The sequence below is a fragment of the Homo sapiens genome, chromosome 15 (assembly GCF_000001405.40).
Source record: "Homo sapiens chromosome 15, GRCh38.p14 Primary Assembly".
Classification (NCBI taxonomy): Eukaryota; Metazoa; Chordata; class Mammalia; order Primates; family Hominidae; genus Homo; species Homo sapiens.
Window position 1 is genome coordinate 74,334,535 of NC_000015.10, and position 25,078 is coordinate 74,359,612.

General features: G+C 49.0%; 2 protein-coding genes across 18 annotated transcripts in view; one reads left to right on the forward strand and one right to left on the reverse strand.

Moving 5' to 3' along the window:
• The window catches only part of CCDC33 (coiled-coil domain containing 33), a 133,474-nt gene extending 131,536 nt beyond the window's left edge, over positions 1–1,938 (forward strand). For 7 of the 16 annotated variants that reach the window (XM_047433141.1, XM_011522085.4, XM_017022624.2 and 4 more), the window contains 2 exons: positions 441–554; positions 1,702–1,938. In XM_047433141.1, coding sequence (XP_047289097.1) covers positions 441–554; positions 1,702–1,923 — 336 coding nt within the window. In that variant the 3' untranslated portion in view covers positions 1,924–1,938. Of the gene's footprint in view, positions 1–440; positions 1,608–1,701 lie in introns of those variants that run through there. The other 9 variants (XM_017022625.2, XM_017022628.2, XM_047433142.1 and 6 more) reach the window with 3 other exon arrangements.
• Positions 3,228–25,078, reverse strand: part of CYP11A1 (cytochrome P450 family 11 subfamily A member 1) — a 29,885-nt gene continuing 8,034 nt past the window's right edge. For both annotated transcript variants that reach the window (NM_000781.3, NM_001099773.2), the window contains exons 2-9: positions 13,366–13,521; positions 10,510–10,709; positions 9,255–9,458; positions 8,443–8,603; positions 5,053–5,219; positions 4,703–4,781; positions 4,037–4,234; positions 3,228–3,569 (exon numbers count right to left, since the gene is read on the reverse strand). In NM_000781.3, the coding sequence (NP_000772.2) occupies positions 3,438–3,569; positions 4,037–4,234; positions 4,703–4,781; positions 5,053–5,219; positions 8,443–8,603; positions 9,255–9,458; positions 10,510–10,709; positions 13,366–13,521 (1,297 nt within the window). In that variant the 3' untranslated portion in view covers positions 3,228–3,437. The remainder of the gene's footprint in view (positions 3,570–4,036; positions 4,235–4,702; positions 4,782–5,052; positions 5,220–8,442; positions 8,604–9,254; positions 9,459–10,509; positions 10,710–13,365; positions 13,522–25,078) is intronic.

The following is a 25,078-nucleotide window of genomic DNA, read 5'->3' on the forward strand; positions in this document are numbered from 1 at the left end:
TCAGTGTGTGACCAGAGTCAGCGTTCAGTGTGCAACCAGGGTCAGGGTTCCGTGTACAACGAGGTTAGGGTTCTGTGTATGACCAGGGTTAGGGTTCTGTGTATGACCAGGGTTAGGGTTCAGTGTATATCCAGGGTCAGGGTTCATTGTGTGACCAGGGTCAGGCTCTGTCTATGACCAGAATCAGGGATCAGTGTGGACTCAGGATCAGAGCTCAGTATGTTGTTGAAATGTCCATCTGTGTCTTGGTCAGGCTGCCTGACTGTTTGGCCCCCTCACCCTCACCCCGCCACCCCTGAGGTCTCGGGAAGGTGTCAAGCCCACATGGCCCAGAGCTTTGCTTTCTGCCTGGACAGCAGGCTCAGGCCCTGGTTGTCCTGGCCATCAGGGATTAGCCCTGCTGCCCATGGTCCTCCAATTGTCCCTCTCTGTGTCTGCAGTTAGAGGACTCAGCTCGACGCTGGGGACGAGAGAAGCAGGATCTGGCCACACGGCTGCAGGAGCAAGAAAAAGGTTTCAGGCACCCCTCGAACTCCATCATCATAGAACAGCCTGTGAGTGACCCCCCTGGAGTAGCTCCCAGGGGTTCAGGTGGTGGAGCAGGAAGCCACCGCACCCCCAAAGTCACTGGGCCCTGAGAAAAGCCATTGTGGAGCCAACTCCAGGGCTGGGGGTCAGGAGTCCTAGGCTCCCATTCCTGCTCCATTACCAACCGAAGGCTCGGTCTTAATTCCCCCACCTGTCTAAGGGGAACAGAAAACCCCTGCCAAAACTACCCTTTCCCCCATGGGGTGCTGTGAAACTCAAGGAGATGACTGTGGATGAGGGGTCCATGCAGGCATCTCCAGGATGCCCTGACACTGTGCTTTAGGACTGGCTGCGCTCATGGGCAGAGTAGCTTGTGGCCCTACCCCCCTGAATCCATAGAGCCTAAGATTCTCAAATTAGCACACCCTTCTCAGATGGCCACGATGTAGGCTCCACTTTGCCAACTTCCCGAGAACAAACAGGCCTGCTCACAACTGCCCCTCAAGTTCAACCCCGGGACCGCCCAGCCCCGCAAAGCAAAGACCCTGACTTCTCCTGCTCTTGAGCCAGCTGTGCTTTGCCCGTGGCCAGAAGCTCAGCAGCGGCTCCTGGGAAAGGCCTGGAAAGGATGAGGGAACAGGCAAGGAACAAAGGCAACCTTTGCACACTCACCTGAGCCCTGGGGACCCTTGGAGAAATTAGGTGTCACCTGCTGTGGCAAAATGGGTTTAGAAATCTTTGCCAGGTCATGGCCCACTGGATTCTGGATACTCTGAGGCCTGGTTTGTCAGGCAATATGCCCTTGAGCAGGTCACCCCCTGGGAATGGGGGGTACTCACGCACCCCGCTTTGCACACCACAGAGTGCCCTCACCCACTCCATGGACCTCAAGCAGCCCTCAGAGCTGGAGCCCCTGCTGCCCAGCTCAGACTCTAAGCTCAACAAGCCCTTGAGCCCCCAGAAGGAGACCGCTAACTCTCAGCAGACCTGAGCCCCAGAGCAGGCCTCCTTCCCTGTGTGCTGGGGAGTCTCATCACCGCCCCCTAAAAATGACGTTATTAAATGTTGTAGCTCTGTGAGCATTTTCCTCTTTCCTGGAGCAGGGCAGCCTGGGGGCCCTGCTTCCTCCTCCTAGACCTCACTCTGGGCCTGGGCCTGGGTCTTCTGCTGCAGCCTTACAGCCTCCCGCCTGCCCCAGGAGCCAGCATCTTTGGAAAGCCAAGGGCCACAGTGGACCCAGGAGGGTGGAGAGAAGAGGCCTTCCAAAGCAGGGGCCAGGGAGACGGGCCCCTTCCAGACCCGGAGAAGAAGCAAGGCCACCAGAGACCAGCTCTGTTGGGAAATACGAGGGAGGCTTGTCCTTTTCATCTGCCCCAAAACATCTATCATGTCTGATATTCCTTCTTTCAAGTTTGGTTTGTCTGTCTCTTGGAAAGGGAAAGACTTGGAGGCTTGAAGCCTTCCTGTGGCAGTCACGTATCATTGTGAAATACTCCATTAAGCCACTAGGCTGAGCTGGCAATGATGTGTCCAAATGTAGCCGGGGCAGGAGAGCAGATTGGGCCAGGGGAAAGGAGGCACCTACAGGGAGTCAGGAGGCCCAGGTTCTGGGGGCAAACAGGCTGTGTGACCTCAAGGGACCCAAGCAACCTCTCTGGACTTCAGTTTCCCCATCTATTCCATGTAGAGCTTGACCTCATTGGCTGTAAGCCTCTTTCCAGCTATAACATTTCTGAGTCAAAGCTGACTCAGGACCAGAGAAGAAAAAGGACACAGGAAGGAAAGACAAAGACAACAGGGAAGAGGATTTTGTGGTGGGGAAAGCAGAAGGGCTCCAAGAGTGGATCCAGATCCCACAGCTTCGGGCAGGAGAGGCCAGGCCAGCTGGACCACTGGCCTCAGCTGGACTAGCTCCCCCACCTGCCTGCAGGACTTAGACTTGGATAGCCGAGGGCCAAGAGGAATCAGGTCAGGAGTTGGGAGACCCCAAGGGATTAGGGGGCGGAAGTCGAGACCAGTGTCATTCAGTCCAAATGACAAACCAGCGGCTCTGCTGCAGAATAGTATCCCCACCTCCCACCCTTGGACAAGGGGGCGCAAGCCCCCAGAGCAAGAACACGAGGCCTGGAGCAAGCCCAGAGGAGGCCCGGGAATGGTAAAGGAAGCAGGCTGGCCTCTCATCCCCAGTCAGCCACCTCACACCAGCCCTTCAGTAGCAGGGGTTCTCACCCACAGTTCTCGGCCTTTGCCATGCCCAGGACTCTGGCTGGGCCTTGGCAGGAAGTCCTCATGCCCCACAGGGAACTCCCACCCAGAGTTCACCCAAGCAGAGCCCTGTGCGAGCCTTACCCCTGTGGGGCAGGTCCACTCAGAAAGGCAGTACTGGCCCACACTTCTTGGGGCCACCCACAGAACTCCCCAGTTCTCCTTTGTCCTTCTGCCTGATGCTTCTGTAGCTCCTGGCACAGTAGCAGTTGCCTCCCCTCCTCTGCCCCACTCTGCCTCACCCCTTGCCCCAGGGAGCCTGGAGTTGATTCTGCTGGCTCCTGAACTGCCATGGGTGAGGGGGTCCCAGCAGAGGTGGCTTCAAGTGTGGCTACCTGGGGTCTCCTGAGCATGCCCAGATCCTGCTTTAACACAGGAAGCATCTCCACGGGAGTGATGAACACCTAATGAGTCTGATGGAACGCAAGACACCACATGGTTCAGCTGTTTATTGTCTCCATGGGGTGGGTGAAGAGGAGTGGCCCAGCTGAGCTGAGGAAGGTGACCACTGAGAACCCATTCAACCTGCTGAGCAGGCTGGGCAGAAAGGAGCAGGACTTGGGACAGACGACTGAAGATGCAGAGACCCCATGGGCCCCACCCCTGGGCCTTCCTCCCATGTGGCTGCAGGCCATCCTCTCTGATCACTGCTGGGTTGCTTCCTGGTTAAAGGGCCAGAAGGTGAAGGAGATGGGCTTTTCAGGCATCAGAATGAGGTTGAATGTGGTGCCCACATCGCTGAGGTGTTGGATTTCAACTCTGAAGTTCTCCAGCATCTGAGAAAGGCAGATGGTAGGTTTAGGGGAGGGCAGGGGAGGATCTGTCTCCCTAGCCAGGCCAATTCACCCATAGGCAGTGCCTGTGGAGTGTGATTTGAGGAGTTCCAAGGAGTTCACCACCAGCTCCTGGTGTAACCCTGCACAGTGCCTGATAATGCACCCTTAGTGCTGCATTTCCTTGATTTAGGCCTAGACCTTAACTTGTCTACAAACCTCAGTCCTATCCCATCCCATCACCACCATGGGGAATGGATGGCCAGGGGCATCAGTGGGTGATGAGTGGTTGAGCCCGAAAGAGGGGGCAGCAGAGAACTGTGGGAGAGAGCGAGAGCAAGTAACTGGAGGTAGATGCGCCCCAGCACTGACATCCTTGGGCTCTGGACAGAGATAGGAGGAGGAAGATTGGTGCCTTCATTAGGGCCAGGGCCAGCCCAGGGTGCCTAGATGTCCCCAGCTTGACTCACATTGATGAGGAAGATGGTCATCTCTAGCTCAGCGATCCGCCGTCCCAGACACTGCCGCACACCCCAGCCAAAGCCCAAGTTCCGGAAGTAGGTGATGTTCTTGTCTTTGCTCAGCCATCGGGTTGGGTCAAAATTTTCCGGGTCGAAGAAGAAGGTGGGCTCTCGGCCCAGAGCATAGATGGCCACTTGCACCAGTGTCTGGGGCAAGGTGATCAGAGGCCTGAGTAAGCCCCACTTCCCCACAGCCCTGAGCACAAAACCCCCTTCCCTAGTCCCCTGCCCTCTCACCACCACTCCCACTCCCCAGCATGGCTGCCCAGCTCTCCAGGGCAGGACATTCTGCCCACTGTGCAGCCTTGAACAAGGCCCCGCCCCTCTGTAATCCTTACCCACCAAATGGGGATGGCTGAAGACCCAAGGCCAGGATGATTGTCCCACCCTTTCCTCAGACCCAGGCAAATCATGAAGTCTCCCTCCTAACCCTGGGTTCCAATAACATCCTAGAGGTCACCGCCCACCATGCCCACCACCTCTGCCCTTCATTCAGACTTAGACTGCTGCCATCAAGGGCCCCACCAGGGCCCCAGTGCCACCCTCTGTCTGCAATTCCAGCCTGCCCCAGCCCTCTCTGACTGGCAGAGCCTGCAGCCTGCTGGCTGCACCTACCTTGGCAGGAATCATGTAATCTCGAAGAACCAAGTCATTTACAAGATATCTCTGCAGGGTCACGGAGATGGGGTGAAGTCTGCGGGAGGAGGGCACTCAGAAGCTGATGGCCCCAAAGGCTGGACACAGCCGCCGGAGCCCCACACCCTGTGTGGCATCTCAGCCCTAGCTGCAGCAGCCTGGGGGGACCTGGGGGTAGGGCCCTGGCTCTATTTCTTTCTCCTCCAGACTTTTCACTTCCTGCTTCCAACCTCCTCCACCAGCCCATCCTCGTAACCCTTTCCCCGGGCACTTCCCTGGCCCTGCCCAGGGATTGGAGTTGGGGGCGGCATGGGTGGTTGTGGGCTTGCCTTAGTGTCTCCTTGATGCTGGCTTTGAGGAGGGGGACCAGCTGTAGCATCGTGGCCATGTCTCCCTGGGCCTGGTGCCGCGCAGCCAAGACCTCTGCCCGCAGCATATCCTGCACCTTCAGGTTGCGTGCCATCTCATACAAGTGCCACTGCAGGGTCATGGACGTCTGGTGGGGAGTAGGGTATACAGAAGACCAGGAGGGCCTGTCACTCCGGGGCCCCTTGAGGTCCTTGACCCCATGGTAAATTTTCATTTCCAAGAACCTCTTTCTCCCCGAACCCCATCCCAGTCTCCAAGACCATCCTCTGCAAGAGCAAAACACATTCCATTGTCTAAAAGGCAAATGTCCAAGAAGCCTTTCTTGCCGGCCAGGCAGGAACATTCAGGGCAGCACTTGTCCCTGCCCTCGTCCCTCATGTCACCAAAAACCCACCCATGTCCACAGTGAGTAGAGTGTCAGCTACACAGCCAATGCCTTCTTCCAAAGAATTCCAGAGGCCCTTAGAGGCCAAATCCTTCTGTAATGATTGCACTCCAGAATGACTGCCATTCCTTTTGAAATGCCTTGTTAAACAACCACCCCTCTTTCCAGTAGAACTTCCTAAAACCTTAGGCTTCACCTATAGCAACATGGCTTCAAGTAAGGCTCAAAGAAGCTGAAACCAGACCAGCCGGATGTTTCCTATCAGTGTTGCAATTAGGGTGTGGTGTGTGTTGAAATTAATCAGCTAATCTCAACGTAAGCCAGAGGCTGTGACCACTAGCCCTTCGCCAGAGATCTGAGTGACCCTCATCAAACCCCACAGTCCCAGATTCCTCAATGATGACAAACCAGGCCCGTTTGGGACTCCAGCCTGGAGCAGCCCTCCCTCCTGGGGACTAGGACATGGGTTGTTGACACATTATCTTACCAAGGATCATATTTTTGTCCAACAGACTTAGACACCCACCTCCCTCCTCCTGGCAGGGGCAACAATGACAAGCTGTGAGGTACCATTTATTAAGCATATATTATATGGCAGGCAGGGTCCTAAGCTGTTTACATATGTTACCTCGTTTAATACTCACAAACAAACCTCTAAGGTATGTTACCATCATCCCCCTTTTTCAGATGCGGAAACTGAAACAACACACAGCTCCTTCTCAGCTTAAAATCCTTGCCTGGCTCCCCAGAGCCTCCAGATGAAATACAGAGGCTCAGGCCTGAGCCACAGGGCCCCTCAACACCTGCCTGCTGCTCCCCAATACCCCACTCCCCACCTCTCTCCAACACACACCTAATGTTCCAGCTACATGGAGTGGCACACAGCCCCTGAAGCCCAGAAGTCTTCCCCACGCTAGGTCCTCTTCCTGGAATTCCCTTCCCCGCCTAAGAAGGAAGGATGTGCTCCCTCTGCAAGACTCTAATCAAATGTGTGTATTCATCTCAGTACTGCCAAGGCCTGCCATAGAGATGTACTTGGGATTTAATAAGGTGGTTAACTATGTTACTAGCTGTGTGACCTCGACCAAGTTATTTAACCTCTCTGTGCTCTACTTTCCTCATCTGAAAAAGGGGGATGATGGTAACATACCTTAGAGGGTTGTTTGTGAGTATTAAATGAGGTAACATATGTAAACAGCTTAGGACCCTGCCTGCCATATAGTATGTGCTTAATAAATGTGACCTCACAGTAATCGTTTCTTTGGTGCCGGTGAGTGATTTTTGAAGATCTCTTCTACGTAATAGACAATGAACTATGTTTAAGGTATGCTCAAAGGCTCCATTTGCAGTCTGTCTCAGGGATGGAAACTCCTTCATCAGAGTGTAACACAGATATAATACCTGGGAATGAAAGTGATTCACCCAGGGGGCTTGACATGTGCTTCTCCCTAGTCCTGAAATGCTATTCCTTCTCTCTCCTCCTGGCAACAGCCTGCAAGACACGCACGTTGAATTTTAGCTCCTCTGTGGAGCCTTCTCCGTGTCCTTCATGGCCACATTAGCCACTCCCCACCTCTCAGCTTTGTCAGTGGCAGGTGCTTGCCTCTGTCACTGCAGTGTGCTATTCCTCCGTTCACACTGCTGCCTCCCTGTTATAGGCTGAGCTGTATACCCCCTCCCAAAATTCATCTGCTGAAGTCCTAACCCTCAGAACCTCAAATGTGACTATATTTGGAGATAGAACCTTTAAAGATTTTAAAGTAAAATGAAGTCCTTGAGGAGGATCCTAATCCAGTTCTGATTAGTGTCCTCATGAGGAGAGACAATTCTGACACAGACACAGAGGGAAGCCCATGTGAGACAGAGGGAGAAGACGGCCATCTACAAGCCAAGGAAAGAGGCCTTTAGAATGCACCAACCCTGCCAACACCTTGACCTTGAACTTCCAGCCTCCGGAACTGTGAGAAAATCAATGTTTGTTGTTTAAATCGCCCAGTCAATGCCATTTTGTTACAGCGGCCCTAGCAAACCAGTACACCCCTCCCCTCTGAGCCACGTGAGGACATTTGAGGTCTACTGTATTCCTTTTGAGATGGAGTCTCACACTACCACCTGAGCTGGAGTGCAGTGGTGCGATCTCGGCTCACCACAATCTCTGCCTCACGGGTTCAAGCGATTCTCCTGCCTCAGCCTCCTGAGTAGCTGGGATTGTAGGTGCCCACCACCAGGCCCAGCTAATTTTTTGTATTTTTAGTAGAGATGGGGTTTCACTATGTTGGCCAGGCTGGTCTCGAACTTCTGACCTCATGATCCGCCCACCTCTGCCTCCCAAAGTGCTGGGATTACAGGCATGAGCCACTGCGCCCGGCCAGGACTGATTATTCTTAATATCCAAAGAAAGAAGTTTCTAGGGTGCCATGCTGCTATGGAAAGAGCACTGGGGATGCCTCTGGGCGTTGGGGGCACCGTAGGGTACTGAGGTCTGGAAAGGGGAGGAGGAAGGACAACAAAAAGACCATGGACGGCAGAGCCCACAGCAAATGCCTCGGCCTCCCAATGTTTCCGGGCTCCTGCCTGCTTCCCTGGATTTGAGTGAGTGTGTTCTCCACCAGGAGCTGGGGGCATTGTCCTCCATCAGCAGGGCTCTGATAGAGCAAGCCTCCAGAGGGGACCTCCTCCTGTGGAGACTCTACGTGGAACCTGGACCTCACCACCATGCCCGGCCACTCCTCTCTCACAGGCAAAGAAAAATAGCTGATCATCCTCAAATCATGCCCTGGGTGACTTGACTTTGACCCCACCATCTTAGGAGATTAGCGCTTTGGAAATGGAGGCAAGGAGGAAGACATATCCTACATGAGTAGGAACGCCTTGAACAACAGGGTTTCAGACAACGAGGGGCCTGGTGGGGAAGGGGCACGTGGGCACAGGGGGCAACAAGGTGCCGCCCCTACAGCCACCTCACCGTGTCCACCCCTCCTGCCAGCATCTCTGTGACGTTGGCCTTGATGTCCTCGAAGGACATCTTGCTGTCTCCCAGGAGTCTGTAGAGGATGCCACGGTAATCGTGGTGAACACTTCCTTTCTGTCTCAATTCCCAGTAGAAGTTCTGGGTGTATATGTCAGCTGTGGGGAAGGAGGAAAGAAAAAAGAGTGAGGTTCCCTGCAGGCGGGTGGGAAGGAGGGCAGTCTGTGGTGAAAGGTGGCACCAAGGGCCTGGGGATTCCGGAGCCCTGTGCTTCTTAGGCTGCCGTTTTACTGAGCACGTACTCTGTACTAAGCCCTTCATATCTGTTTTTTCATCGAATTCTTGGGGTATGTGACATCATCCCCATTTTACAGATAACAGAGGTGCAGAGACATAGTCACTTGCCCAAGGTCACATGGCTGTAAGGGGCAGAGGTGGGATTTGACTCTGCCATACCCTGACGAGCCTTCTCCACCCAACCTTCCCCATCTCTCCCACCCAAGTCCCTGTCATCCAGCACAGCCGTGGCTCAGACACTGGTCCTTTGCCCTCTGGGGAGCATGAGCTCCTTTGAAGAAGATCACAGATGTCTTTGCTCCTCTTTTTCCAGAAAAATCTAATAATCCCCAACAGCCAGCCTTCCATCCGCCATTTCCAGGGGTCCCAGGGCCTTCCTGACACCCACGCCTGCCCGCCACAGTGTGGGTTTCCTACAGGTCAAGTCAGCGCCCATTGACATAGCGTGGGACAAAGGAGCCGGCTGAGGCCTGGGGCTCCGAGGAGGAGAGCACAGCCAGAGAAGCCCTCACCTTTACTGAAAATCACGTCCCATGCAGCCACATGGTCCTTCCAGGTCTTGGTCCTGAACAGACGGAACAGGTCTGGGGGAAGGTTGAGCATGGGGACGCTGGTGTGGAACATCTGGTAGATGGCATCAATGAATCGCTGGGCCTCGGGGTTCACTACTTCCTCCAGCATCCCCTGGCGCTCCCCAAAAATGACGTTAGTGATGGCTGCAGGGAGAGGAAGAGGCTGAGGAGCCATTTCTGACGGGGCCATCTGAGAGCCACAACTCCCAGGGACTCCTCCACCCTCACCTCCCTCAGCACAAAGGATCTCTTGCCCCTACCCTCAGCCTCCTTCAGTAAATAAATTGAGGCCTGAGTCCCAAAGGGCTAAGATGCAAGGCTGAGAAAGCTGACCTCTGGCAACCACACAGGTCCTGCAGAGGGGCATGTGGAGGACCTGAAAGGTGGGAAGCAGGGTCTCCAGCAGAGCTGAGAGAGGGCCTAGCCCAGGATGCAACTGCTCTGCCCAGGCTTCCACCAAGAGAGATTCCTCATCTGTAATTGGCTGAATTGGCTAAATACTTCCTGAAACAGGTCAGAAAGGAGACTGAGGGTCATAAATCCCTGGATAATTAACCATCCAGGACCTAGTCTTGCTGGACCTAAGAAGTTACAACAGCCTCAAGTTTTCCCCACCTACCAGGTGAGTAATTTGAATACTGATTTCATACAAAGCTCTGGGCACCCCAAATCTCTTGCTGTGACCACACAATCTTCATCAAGCCACAGGGCCTTTGTATGTGTGGTTCCCTCTACCTATACTGCCTGACTTCCTTACCCCATCTAGATAACTCCTACAGATTCCTCAATGCCTACCTCAGATTAACCACTGAACTCTCCTCTACCCTACCAGACTCCAAAGGTCTATGGCCCAGGAGGTGGAGACTTGCAGAATGAAGGTCCAAGCCAAGCTCTGGCTTTGGCGGATGGTGGCAATAGGGACCTGTACTTTGGGGACCCTTGCTCCTACAGCACAAATGCCAGATGAGAGAGAATGCCAGATGAGAGAACCCCAGAGCAAGGGGTCTCACTCTGTTGCCCAGGGTGGTCTTAAATTGCCTCTGAGTAGCAGGCAGTGGAGGACATGATCAGCGGCTCATCCCAGAAGTCAGTCTCAATGCCTCTGCAGGGTCTGTACTGAACCTCAAGGTAAGAGAGTGAACACTGAGTCCTCCCACCCCCATGCCCACTGCCAGCCAGGTGCAAGCCCCCTTACACTCAAAGGCAAAGCGGAACAGGTCATCACTGATGTCCCCCGAGTAATTTCCGGAGCCCGCCTTCTTGATGCGCCTGTGCAGGACACTGACGAAGTCCCGAGACACTGCATCCAACAGGGGCAAAAAGTTCTTGGTGGCCTCTGGAGCCATCACCTCCTGGTTCAGGGCCACCCGGTCTTTCTTCCAGGCTGCCGACTTCCTGAGAAAACATGGGCCCACAAGCCCTCATGGTCACAGACCCCAGGCCTGGTGAACACAGAGGGGGCTGACTCAGTTTTCCCAGGAAGCTGAGTCACAGCTCACAGCATCCAGCACTCCCACCAGGGCCTCTGCCCTCACCTCTCCGAGCACCCTCTGCCTCTCACCTCCTCCCTGCTCTGCCTGGCTGGGAGAAGAGAAAGGAAAAAAGAGAGTGAAGGGGAACAAAACTCCAACTCCCCTCCACTCCCTCTGCTGAGGGCCAGGAACTGATATTCTTAGAACCCTTTGTGTAACTTTCAGTCTCTCCAGTCTTTGCCTCAGCTGCAGGCATGCCTTCCATGCCACTCCCACTTCCTCCTGGCCGATGCTCACCTTTGACACTCCAGGGCCCCTCTATATAACATTTTCTGACTCTTGCACAAACAAAATTGACCAGCCTCTCCTCCTCTGCACCCCCAACACGTCCCATTACTCACTTCTGTCGGGGGACCTCAGGTGCCCCGAACTGGGTTGGTCATAATAAACCTTAATTCATGCACACTCTTGAAATTCATCAATCCATGCAAAGTCCTCTTCGTGACTTGGGGGTGTTTTTGTTGATAAGAATATTATCACAAACTTACCACCCACCATAGAAACTAGGAACTTGACAGTAACTTACACTTGCCCTCCTGGTCCTTCCACATCCTTTGTTCCCTTCTAAGGAGACCACCCACTAGAATCCCTTGCTCTCATTTGTGTCTAATTTTATCTGATCTCCATTTATTCCCAAAAGGTACTATTACAAAATATATACTAGTGTTTAACTTCTTTTAAAAAGCTGTCGGTCAGACACAGTGGCTCACGCCTGTAATCCCAGCATTTTGGGAGACCGAGGCAGGTGGATCACCTGAGGTCAGGAGTTCGAGACCAGCCTGGCCAACATGGTGAAACCCCGTCTCTACTGAAAATACAAAAATTAGCTGGGCATGGTGGCGGGCATCTATAATCCCAGCTACGCCGGAGCTTGAGGCAATAGAATCACTTGAACCCGGGAGGCGGAGGTTGGAGTGAGCCAAGATCGTGCCATTGCACTCCAGCCTGGGTGACAGAGCAAGACTCTGCCTCAAAAAAAAAAAAAAAAAAAAAGAAAGAAAGAAAGAAAAGCTGTCATGCTTTGCCAGACTTGCTTTTTTCACTTAGTTGCACCGTTCCAAGTATCATCTGTATTGCTGTGGGAGACTGAGTCCCTTCATTTTGACTGGTGTGTACCACAATTCACTCACTTATAATCCTATTGGGCATTTCAGTAGCTTTCTGGTTTTTAATATCATGAACGGTACCACTGCAAACCTTCTACTACACATCCCCCAAAGCAGGGATACTCTTTGGAGTATATACCTGAAATCAAACTGCTATGTCACAGGTATGCAAATATTCCATTTTAGGAGAAAATGTCCAACCATTTTCCAAAGTAGTGGCTCCAGTTTACACTCCCACCAGTAACAGATGAGAGCCCCAGTTGCTCTGTAGCCTTACCCACACTTGATATGGTTACGTTTTACCTTTTCTTTTCTTTTTTTTTTTTTTTTTTGAGACAGGATCCAGCTCTGTCACCCAGCCTGGAGTGCAGTGGTGCCATCTCTCGTCACAGCAACCTCTGCTTCCTAGGCTCAAGTAGTTCTCTGGCCTCAGCCTGCCAAGTAGCTGAGAACACAGGCATGTGCCACCACATCGGCTAATTTTTTATTTTTTATTTTTTGTAGAGATGGGGTCTCACTGTGTTGCCCAGGGTGGTCTTGAACTCCTGAGCTCAAGCAATCTGTCCGCCTTGGCCTCCCAAAGTGCTGGGATTACAGGCATGAGCCAATGCGCCCTGACCCTCATTTTACATTTTTGATGGGGTGGGTATGGTGGCTCATGCCTATAATCCTAGCACTTTGGAAGGCTGAAGCGGGAAGATTGCTTGAGCCCAGGGGTTTGAGACCAGCCTGGGCAACATGGCAAAATCTCATCTATACTAAAAATGTAAAAATTGGCTGGGTGTGGTGACACGCACCTGTAATCCCAGCTACTTGGGAGGCTGAGGTGGGAGGATCACCTGTGCCGGGGGGCAGAGGCTGCTGTGAGCCATGATCAAACCACTGCACTCCAGCCTGGATGACACAATGAGATCCCATCTCAAAATAAAAAAAAATTTATGAACAATTTCGTAGAAAACAGTATCCACTACACTTAAATACACTGATCTGTCCCCATGTAGGACAAATGTCTCACTGCCCCTTTAGCCTGTATGGGACTCACGGTGGCAGGTCCCTGCTCTATTTGTCACTGTATCTCCAGTTCCTGGCACAAGTCCTGATTCATCAAGGATGCTCAGTAAGGTGGGACTCAGTGAGCAAACCAGTCAGTGAGAACTTTGCCAGATCTTTAATTATTCATTAGGATCTTCAGCATGGCCATTTCCCTGAAGGCTGGCAGAGCAATTCATCATCATCATCATCATCATCACCATCATTTGTTTTAGGGAGGCAGGAAAATGACGGGGATTCACCTAGAGGCCCTGCTAGGAGGCACAGGGCAAGCCTGGCCTCAGCCCCTCACCCCCAGCCTCTGCCCTCTCCACAGCTCCCCACCACCTCCCTCCAGTCCCTGGGAGATGGCCCAGGACTCACTTCAACAGGACTCCTATGGGTCTCTGGTAATACTGGTGATAGGCGACCCAGGGCGGGATGAGGAATCGTTCTGGGTTGGGGCCCTCGGACTTAAAGAGAAGGGCCACATCTTCAGGGTCGATGACATAAACCGACTCCACGTTGCCGAGCTTCTCCCTGGAGGGGTGGGGGAGAGGGGCTGATGGAAGGATCCGAGGAGAGCTATGGATACAGGCTCAGCACAGCTGCCTCACAGTTCCACAACTTGCTGACTGTGGGACCTGAGTCGAGGCCCTTAACCCCTCTGAGTCTCAGTTTCCTCTTCTGTAAAATGGAGACAAATACAGTACCTGTCTCGCAGCGCTGCTGAAGGACAAGACAATAGGAAGTATATGGATGTGACCTTTGTTAAACATTCTACAAGTGAGAGCTTTATGATCACTGTTGCTGCTGTCCCACAGCACATCCCCAGGGCCAGCCCAAAGCCACCCCCGAGCCTTCCATGGACCAGCAAGTCCTCCACTCCTTGCGCATTCTTCCTGTGTCCACACCTACAGCAGCCCCAGCTTCTCACCTGTCCACAGAGCTCAGAACCATGGCACACTTTCATGTCACTGCTAGAGTGACTCACTATAGCTTGCAAGGTAGGCCATATTCCAGGCCAAATCCCTGTCAGACTCTACAACTGAAATTCTGAGAGTGGCCACCCTGACCCTAAGAGTCAGAGGCCACCCAACAACACGCTTTGTCTCTATTAAAATAAAACTTCAGTAAAACATCAAGCCCCAACATACAGGCAGGGGAGACAGGCTTGCAAATCACTTTGCAGACAATCTGTATTAAATACAACTGGGTTTTTGTTGTTATTGTTGTTTTGAGACAGGGTCTCTGTTACCCAGGCTGGAGTGCAGTGGTGTGATCACGGCTCACTGCAGCCCTGACCTCCCAGGCTCAAGCGACCCTCTCACCTCAGCCCGGCCAAGTACCTGGGACTACAGGCACCACCATGCTTAATTTTTGTGTTTTTTGTAGAGATGAGGTTTTGCCATGTTGCCCAGGCTGGTCTCAAACTTCTGGGCTCAAGAGATCCTCCCACCTCAGCCTCCCAAAGTGCTGGGATGGCAGGTTTGAGCCAATGTGCCTACCCACATACAACTGTTACATATGACTGGTGTTCTTACATGAAGAGATGAGGACACGGATACACAAAGAGGAAGGACCATGTCAACACACGGGGAAAAGATAGCATCTAACTCCAAGGAGAGAGGCCTCAGAAGAAAGCAAGCAACTCAGCCAAAACCTTGATCTCTGACTTCTAGTTTCCAGAACTGCCAGAAAATTAATTCTGTTGTTTAAGCAAAAAATAAGAAATAAAAATACAACTACTAAAAAACAACAGAAAATTCCACTTCTTGCTAGCCTCTGCCTTTTATCGAAGAAAATTAAGATACACTTTTAGGCAAAATAGCATAAAAACATGGAGATACAAGCCAAGTGTGCTCATGTGTGTGCATGTTCTCTCTCTCTCTCCTCTCATAGTGCTGCTTTAACCACTGAGCCAGAAAGCCTGGGCCTACCTTGATGAGTTTCAGGCCTTCACTTGTTCTGTGGCCTCCCAGAAAATCCCCTCAGTGTTTTTCCAGCTACCATGTGTCTTTGCACTAACTAGCTCCATACCCCTAACCAAGTTCAGCCAAGCCCTTGAACTGCTATTATCATGATCAATTCCACTTCTGGGAATCTAGCCCAAGGCAATGATCTGACATCAGCAACAATGCTTGATGGATAAGGATGTCCATTGCAGCCTCATGTCTAACAGCAAAAAAGTCAAGAGTAGGTTGTATGTTCACTTTAAAGAACCCGCGAAAAAAAAAATCCATACTGTGAACTACTATGCTGCCTTTTAAAATTATATTAGAGGCCAGGCACAGTGGCTCACACCTGTAATCCCAGTACTTTGGGAGGCTGAGGAGGGAGAGGGAGGATCACTTGCGCCCAGGAATTCAAGGCTACAGTGAGCCTATGATGGCACCACTGCACTCCACCCTGGGAGACAGAGCAAGACCCTGTTTCAAAAAAAGTAAATATTAATAAGATAGATCAAGAAAAAGGAAGAAGATATAAATAAACGAAACGAGATCTTTCCCCAGAAAAGTCTGAGGACCACTGAACATCACTTTCTCTTAAAATATAAAATAATTTTATATTAGAGAGAGAAAAAAGGAAAGAATTCCTTGATATATTGTTGTGAGACAACATAAGCAGCATATGTAGTATATTCACATACCTCATGATACTTAAATGTTAAATCAATTGGAATTGATTGTATCTGACTTCAATTTTTCATTTGTGTTTCTCTGTATTTTCTAAATTGCTCTGTATAAAACAAGAACAGCCTTTGTGTTAGGAAAAAAACCCACAAAAGTTGTATTTTAAATTCCTCACATTTATTCAGAAGTTTATTGTTTATTAGCTATAAGTTCAAGTATAATGACACACAGAGCTGGAAGTCAGACAATTCCAGTTCCTGCCCTGGCTTTGCTCTCATGAGTTGTGTGACATTGACAAGACCCTTCTTCTCACTGGGCCTCAGTTTCCCCATCTGTAAAGTGGGGAAATAATAACACCAACTACAGGGATATGTTGCAAGATTCAGATGGAAGTGACTCAGAAAACAGAAAGATAATTAGGGTCTGGAGGCAGGGAACATAAGGCCAATTCACACTTGAGCTGTGACAGGAAATATCCTCTCCATAGGGCGTATGCTGTAAATGACTTTGTAACTTTACTTCATCCTCTCCATTTACATAAGGCATATGGAATTAACCAATGGAATGCTCTAAGGGGTATTTAAACTCCCAAAAATTCTGTTAACGGGGCCCCTGAGCTCCTACACTCAGGCCCCTCCCACACCGTGGTGTGCATTTTCATGTTCAATACATCCCTTCATCCCTTCCGTGCTTTGTTTGTGCGTTTTGTCAAATTCTTTGTTCAAGACACCAAGAACCTGGACACCCTCCACCGGTAACATGTATTTTGGCCAGCCAGCCAGGAGGAAGAGGTAAGCCCAAAGTTTGGGATTCGTTTTTCTCCCTTTCCTTTCTGCTCCATACAGGAGCTCTCTCTTTCTCTTTTCTGTTCCAACTTGGGACCCTTGCTGGGCCCCACCTAAACACGGAGACAACTGCAGGTTTCTGGCCGTGGCCAGTGAAACTAAGGGGTTTCCACGTGGAGAAGCAGCCTGACTGCCACCGCCCGGTTCGCTTAAGGGACCTGGGTCTTTTTTATGTTTTTTTTCTCTTTTTTTGTCTCTTTCTATTTCAGTCTTTCAGCGGCTGTTTCCTAGTAGCTCCTTGGAAATTGAGGCTGGGGTCACCAGTACTGCCTGAAGGTCTACGAATGAAAGGGAATAATTGCGCTGCCCCAAAGCGGGAGGGACTTTTTTTAAAAATCTTTTTTGCCTATGGTTCCTGATCCCTACATGCGGTGCTGCTCGGAGCAAACTCATAAATGTTTCTGGGGGCTTAAACCTTACTTTCTTATGCTAAATTCTTCCCTTATAGTGCTCAACTAGCTAAGGACAAAAAAAGCCCACGCAGCATCCAGTTCACATTACAGTTCATGGCTACTCTTATAAAGTTCATAGTATGCTCCAGAGGGGAAAGCCTGCATGTGATGCCCACCTAAAGCCAGAGACGTCTGGGACCCTAAGATTGGACCCCACAGGAGGATGCTCTGTGGGTCCTGCGGACCCCAGCCACTCCAAAGAGGATGCTCTTGGCAGAGGTTCTGAGGTCTAGCCCTCCTTAGAATTTTCTCTCCGCAGTTGCAATGCTGTTTGGCCCCAACATTGTTTGGAATCTGAAGTTTACTGTTGAATTGGAAAGTGGAATAGAGTTGCATGTATCCAGGCTTTTGTGCTGCAGCTCTAAGCAGGGGGCCTGGTTAACATGTGACACCCTGCTTTGAAGTCGTGGGAGGTTTGGCCTTTAAAAATCAAACTGCCATGGAGACTGCTTTAGCCAAAATTTTGGTTCACAGCCTTCATTGGATTATCTGTTGGGGCAAAAACTGGCAAGCTTGTATTGCTATCTCATGGCTAAGGTTCCAAGCTATTGAATCTTCGTTTATGTGTGTGTATACATGTCTAGATGTGTTTATTTGTATGTACACATTGTTATATGTTGTGTCTACCAAATTGCCTTATAAGTAAAAGAGCACTCATAAATTAAGTAAATAAGTCTAAGCAATTTTCAAGTTCACGTGACTTAAAGTATAACTTTACTAAACAAGCTAGCTTTAAAATTATTGGTGGAATAAAAATAGAAATGCCTTCAGTATTATCAGTATACATTTTGTTTGAATTTTATGTTTGTCTTTGCTATCTTTTTTTTTTTTTTTTTTTTTTTGAGACAGAGTCTCACTCTGTCACCCAGGCTAGAGTGCAGTGGTGTGATCTCGGCTCACTGCAACCTCCGCCTTCTGGGTTCAAACAATTCTCCTGCCTCAGCCTCCTAAGAAGCTGGGACCACAGGCACACGCCACCACGCCCAGCTAATTTTTAAATTTTTTAATAGAGACAAGGTTTCACCATATTGGCCAGGCTGGTCTTGAACTCTTGACCTTGTGATCTGCCTGCCTCAGCCTCCCAAAGCACTGGGATTACAGGCATGAGCCACCACTAGATATTCTTAAATGTCAGTGAATTCAACCTGGGAGCTGCTTGGGGCGAGCCTGCCTCCCCTTCTATTCAAAGTCTCACTGAGATAAATGCATATCTGATTGGTTCCTTTGGAAAGGCTAATCAGAAACTCAAAAGAATGTAAACATCTGTCTCCCACCTGTGATCTGAAAGCCTCCAAGCCCACTCCTTGCCTTGAGTTGTCCCACCTTTCAGGACCAAACCAATGTTCATTTTACATATGTTAATTAGTGTCTCATGTCTCCCTTGTTAAAAGTAAAAATTGAGTACAGCAAATGGGATAAATGCTTTAGGTAAACTTTTTGTGTAAATTAAAACCTTAAAGTTATTTTTGGCACTCATTTAATATCTGGGTCATTTCCAAGTAAGAAAGGGTTGTGATATGGGGAAATATGTTTCTAAAATTGTGGAATTGTTCTTATCTATAAATGCCCATATCTGATATTTCAGGATTTCTTGCTTTTTAGGGTTTCACTAAAATTTTACATTACAAAGGATAAGGTTTCTAGTTAACACGTAATTCTGTATACAAAAAGTGCCTGAAAGGGTTATTACTAAAAAAAGGAAAGAATAATTTTGTCTAATTCAGAAGTTATCTAAAAGTTAGTTCAAGTTACAGTTTTGAAAAGGTTATTTATGAAACAATGTAGTAAGGAACCATTAAGTAGGGGAGAAAGATGAGGTACAGTTTAAATAATAAAATATTCTTTAAAACCTGATAAAGAATTGGAAACATTTGGCTAATTAACATTTTTATAGTTAAAGCTCTTAGTCTTGATTAAAGTAAGAAGTATTGTAAAAATGCATTGGCAGTTTGGCAACTCTTTTTTTTAATATAGTTAAGCATGAAGCTGGATTTAGTGTGGAACCAAATTCCACATACATGCTTACATTGCTTCATACTATGTTTACTGTTTTGCATGGATAGTGCTGGAGTACTTATTGGTCATACGCCTAAAGTGAATTTGTTAATTGCACAGGATGTATGATAATATTAGTGAACTTAAGGATACTGAATTGTGTATCAGGAATAAAATATTCATTATGTGGGTTTTTGGGGGCCCTATGTAACACTGTAGCCTCCAGGGTAAATTGAATAAGAAAATTTAGGGTTGGTTTCCTGCTTATTTGTTTTTGCTTCTAGTTTTCATTTGTTTGCCATTTGTTCTCCTCTGACTTTGCTTGTGTATGCATGTATATAAAAACCATGATTTTTCTTAGTTCCTAGTGGAAGGTTTTCATTTAGTTCTGTGTTCCTGTGCATTTCTAGCAAGTCATCATTCATTCCATTTTTCTGGAATTCCCAAGCTACCTTTGTTGGGCCTGCAGGAATTAATGGAGCATACTAGCTTTTTTATCCTTAAACTAACTTTTTGGATTTTAGGCTTCCTGATACTTTAAGTGTGTTGAGTATACTCTCACAAATAGAATTTTAGTCATATTTCTCTCACTCTGCCTAGTTTCTCCAAAATTTGTAAACTATTTATGAATATTCTTAATTCATTGCAATGTGTTTGTTTGCATACAGTCAAGCAGGGTCCCTGGGGCCACTCAGGGAGAGAATGTCAGGCCTCTGAGCCCAAGCTAAGCCGTCATATCCCCTGTGACCTGCACGTATACATCCAGATGGCCTGAAATAACTGAAGAATCACAAAGAAGTGAAAATGGCCTGTTCCTGCCTTAACTGATAACATTACCTTGTGAAATTCCTTCTCCTGGCTCTTCTGGCTCAAAAGCTCCCCCACTGAGCACCTTGTGACCCCCACCCCTGCCAGCCAAAAAACAACCCCCTTTGACTGTAATTTTCCATTACCTACCCAAATCCTATAAAACAGCCCCACCCCTATCTCCTTTTGCTGACTCTTTTCGGATTCAGCCTGCCTGCACCCAGGTGATTAAAAAGCTTTATTGCTCACACAAAGCCTGTTTGGTGGTCTCTTCACAGGGACACGCATGAAATTTGGTGCCATGACTCGGATCAGGGGACCTCCCTTGGGAGATCAATCCCCTGTCCTCCTGCTCTTTGCTCAGTGAGAAAGATCCACCTATGACCTCAGGTCCTCAGACCAACCAGCCCAAGGAACATCCCACCAATTTTAAACCCGGTAAGCAGCCTCTTTTTACTCTCTTCTCCAACCTCTCTCACTATCTCTCAACCTCTTTCTCCTTTCAATCTTGGCGCCATCTTTCAATCTCTCCCTTCCCTTAATTTCAGTTCCTTTCCTTTTCTGGCAGAGACAGAGGAGACGTGTTTTATCCGTGAACCCAAAACTCCAGCGCTGGTCACAGACTCGGGAAGACAGTCTTCCCTTGGTGTTTAATCACTGCGGGGATGCCTGCTTGATTATTCACCCACATTTCAGAGGTGTTTGATCACCACGGGGACACCTGCCTTGATCCTTCACCCTTAGTGGCAAGCACCACTAATTTGGGGGGCAAGCACCTCCCTTCTCTCCGTGTCTCTACCCTCCCTTTTCTCTCCACTTTCCTGGGGGGCAGGCATCCCCCACACCTTCTCTCCATGTCTCTATCCTCTCTTTTCTCTGGGCTTACCTCCTTCACTATGGGCAAACTTCCACCCCTCCATTCCTCCCTCTTCTCCCTTAGCCTGTGTTCTCAAGAATTTAAAACCTCTTCAACTCACACGTGACCTAAAACCTAAACATCTTATTTTCTTCTGCAATGCCACTTAACCCCAATACAAACTCAACAATGGTTCCAAATAGCCAGAAAACGGCACTTTCGATTTCTCCATCCTACAAGATCTAGATAATTCTTGTCATAAAATGGGCAAATGGTCTGAGGTACCTGACACCCAGGCATTCTTTGTTCCCTCCCTAGTCTATTTCCAATGCAATTGGTCCCAAATCTTCTTTTCCCTCCCACCTGTCCCTTCAGTCCCAACCCCAAGTGTTGTTGAGTCTTTCCAATCTTCCTTTTCTACCGACCCATCTGACCTCTCCCCTCATCCCCAGACTGCTCCTCAGGTCACTCCCCAGCCAGGCTGAATCAGGCTCCAATTCTTCCTCAGTTTCTGCTCCTCCACCCTATAATCCTTCTATCACCCCCTCTCCCCAAACCCAGTCCAGCTTACAGTTTCGTTCTGCAACTAGCCCTCCCCCATCTGCCCAGTAATTTCCTCTTAAAAAGGTGGCTGGAGCTAAAGGCATAGTCAAGGTTAATGCTCCTTTTTCTTTATCCGAACTCTCCCAAATCAGTTAGTGTTTAGGCTCTTTTTCCTCAAATATAAAAACCCAGCCCAGTTCATGGCTCATTTGGCAGCAACCCTGAGACGCTTTACAGCCCTAGACCCTGAAGGGTCAGAAGGCTGTCTTATTCTCAATATGCATTTTATCACCCAGTCAGCCCCTGACATTAGAAAAAAGCTTCAAAAATTAGAATCCGGCCCTCAAACCTCGCAATGGGAATTAATCAACCTTGCCTTCAAGGTGTACAATAATAGAAAGGAGGCAGCCAGACAGCAACACATTTCTGAGTTACAATTACTTGCCTCTGCTGTGAGACAAAACCCAGCCGCATCTCCAGCATACAAGAACTTCAAAACGCCTGAACTGCAGCGGCCAGGCATTCCTCCAGGACCACCTGCCCCAGGATCTTGCTTCAAGTGCTGGAAATCTGGCCACTGGGCCAAGTATTGCCTGCAGCCTGGGATTCCTCCTAAGCCATGTCCCATCTGTGCAGGACCCCACTGGAAACTGGACTGTCCAACTCACCCAGCAGCCACTCCCAGAGCCCCTGGAACTCTGGCCCAAGGCTATCTGACTGACTCCTTCCCAGATCTTCTCCGCTTAGCGGCTGAAGACTGATGCTGCCCAATCGCCTCAGAAGCTTCCTGGATCATCACAGATGCTTTAGGTAACTCTTACAGTGGAGGGTAAGTCCGTCCCCTTCTTAATCAATATGGAGGCTACCAACTCCACATTACCTTCTTTTCAAGGGCCTATTTCCTTTGCCTCCACAACTATTGTGGGTATTGACAGCCAGGCTTCTAAACCTCTTAAAACTTCCCAACTCTGGTGCCAACTTGGACAATATTCTTTTATGCACTCCTTTTTAGTTATCCCCACCTGCCCAGTTCCCTTATTAGGTCAAGACATTTTAACTAAATTATCTGCTTCCCTGACTATTCCTGGGCTACAGCCACACCTTATTGCCACCCTTTTCCCCAGTTTAAAGCCTCCTTCACATCCTCCCCTTGTATCTCCCCACCTTAATCCACACATATGGGACATGTCTACTCCCTCCTTGGTGACTGATCATGCACCCCTTACCATCCCATTAAAACCTAATCACCCTTACCCTGTTCAATGCTAATATCCTATCCCACAGCATGCTTTAAAAAGATTAAAGCCTGTTATCACTTGCCTGTTACAGCATGGCCTTTTAAAGCCTATAATCTCTCCTTATAATTCCCCCATTTTACCTGTTCAAAAACCAGACAGGTCTTACAGGTTAGTGCAGGATCTGTGCCTTATCAACCAAATTGTTTTGCCTATCCACCCCATGGTGCCAAACTCATATATGCTCCTATCCTCCATACCTCCCTCCACAACCCATTATTCTGTTCTGGATCTCAAACATGCTTTCTCTACTATTCCTTTGCACCCTTCATCCCAGCCTCTCTTCACTTTCACTTGGACTGACCCTGACACCCATCAGGCTCAGCAAATTACCTGGGCTGTACTGCTGCAAGTCTTCACGGACAGGCCCCATTACTTCAGTGAACCCCAATTTCTTCCTCATCCATTACCTATCTCAACATAATTCTTCATGAAAACACACATGCTCTCCCTGCTGATCACGTCCAGCTAATCTCACAAACCCTAACCCCTTCTACAAAGCAACAATGCCTTTCCTTCCTAGGCATGGTTAGATACTCCACCTTTGGATACCTAGTTTTACCATCCTGACTAAACCATTATATAAACTTAAAAATGCAAACTTAGCTGATCCCATAGATCCTAAATTCTTTCGCCACTCCTCTTTCTGTTCCTTAAAAACAGCCCTAGAAGCTGCTCCCACACTAGCTCTCTCTAACTCATCCAACCCTTTTTCATTACACACAGCTGAAGTGCAGGGCTGTGCGGTCAGAATTCTTACACAAGAGCCAGGACCGCGCCCGGCAGCCTTTCTATCCAAACAACTTGACCTTACTGTTTTAGCCTAGCCCTCATGTCTGTGTACGGCAGCTGTCGCTGCTTTAATACTTTTAGAGGCCCTCAAAATCACAAACTGTGCTCAACTCACTCTCTCCAGTTCTCATAACTTCCAAAATCTATTTTCTTCCTCACACCTGATGCATATACTTTCTGCCCCGCTCCACTACCTCTCAGCAAGCTGAACTCATTGCCTTAACTGGAGCCCTAACCCTTGCAAATGAATTACACGTCAATATTTATACTGACTCTAAAGATGCCTTCCATATCCTGCACCACCATGCTGTTGTATGGGCTGAAAGAGGTCTCCTCACTACACAAGGGTCCTCCATCTTAATGCCTCTTTAATAAAAACTCTTCTCAAGGCCGCTTTACTTCCAAAGGAAGCTGGAGTCATTCACTGCAAGGGCCATCAAAAGGCATCAGATCCCATTGCTCTGGGCAATGCTTATGCTGATAAGGTAGCTAAAAAGCAGCTAGCATTCCAACTTCTATCCCTCACAGCCAGTTTTTCTCCTTCTCATCGGTCACTCCCACCTACTCCCCTACTAAAACTTCCACCTATCAATCTCTTCCCACACAAGGCAAATGGTTCTTAGACCAAGGAAAATATCTCCTTCCAGCCTCACAGGCCCATTCTATTCTGTCGTCATTTCATAACCTCTTCCATGTAGGTTACAAGCCACTAGCCCACCTCTTAGAACCTCTCATTTCCTTTCCATCATGGAAATCTATCCACAAGGAAATCACTTCTCAGGGTTCCATCTGCTAGTCTACTACTCCTCAGGACCCTCCCTTCCCTACACATCAAGCTCAGGGATTTGCCTCTGCCCAGGACTGGCAAATTGACTTTACTCACATGCCCCAAGTCAGGAAACTAAAATACCTCTTGGTCTAGGTAGACACGTTCACCGGTTGGGTAGAGACCTTTCCCGTAGGGTCTGAAAAGGCCACCACGATCATTTCTTCCCTTCTGTCAGACATAATTCCTCGGTTTGGCCTTCCTACCTCTATACAGTCTGATAACAGACCAGCCTTTATTAGTCAAATCACTCAAGCAGTTTCTCAGGCTCTTGGTATTCAGTGAAACCTTCATACCCCTTACCGTCTTCAATCTTCAGGAAAGGTAAAACGGACTAATGGTCTTTTAAAAACACACCTCACCAAACTCAGCCTCCAACTTAAAAAAAGGACTCTGTCAAGAATAGAGCCCAAAAACTCACCAACCAAACAAGTAATTACACTGAATCCCCTTGGGCACTCTCTAATCGGATGTCCTGGGTCCTCCCAATTCTTAGTCCTTTAATACCTGTTTTTCTCCTTCTCTTATTCAGACCTTGTGTCTTCCATTTAGTTTTTCAGTTCATACAAAATTGCATCCAGGCCATCACCAATCATTCTACATGACAAATGCTCCTTTTAACAACCCCACAATATCACCCCTTACCACAAAATCTTCCTTTGGCTTAATCTCTCCCACTCTAGGTTCCCACACTGCCCTTAATCCTGCTTGAAGCAGCCCTGAGAAACATTGCCCATTATCTCTCCATACCACCCCCAAAATTTTTGCTGCCCCAACACTTCAACACTATTTTATGTTATTTTTCTTACTAATATAAGAAGACAGGAATATCAGGCCTCTGAGCCCAAGCTAAGCCATCATGTCCCCTGTGACCTGCACGTATGCACCCAGATGGCCTGAAGTAACTGAAGGATCACAAAAGAAGTGAAAACGGCCTGTTCCTGCCTTAACTGATGACATTACCTTGTGAAATTCCTTCTCCTGGCTCATCCTGGCTCAAAAGCTCCCCCACTGAGCACCTTGTGTCCCCTGCCCGTGCCTGCCAAAGAACAA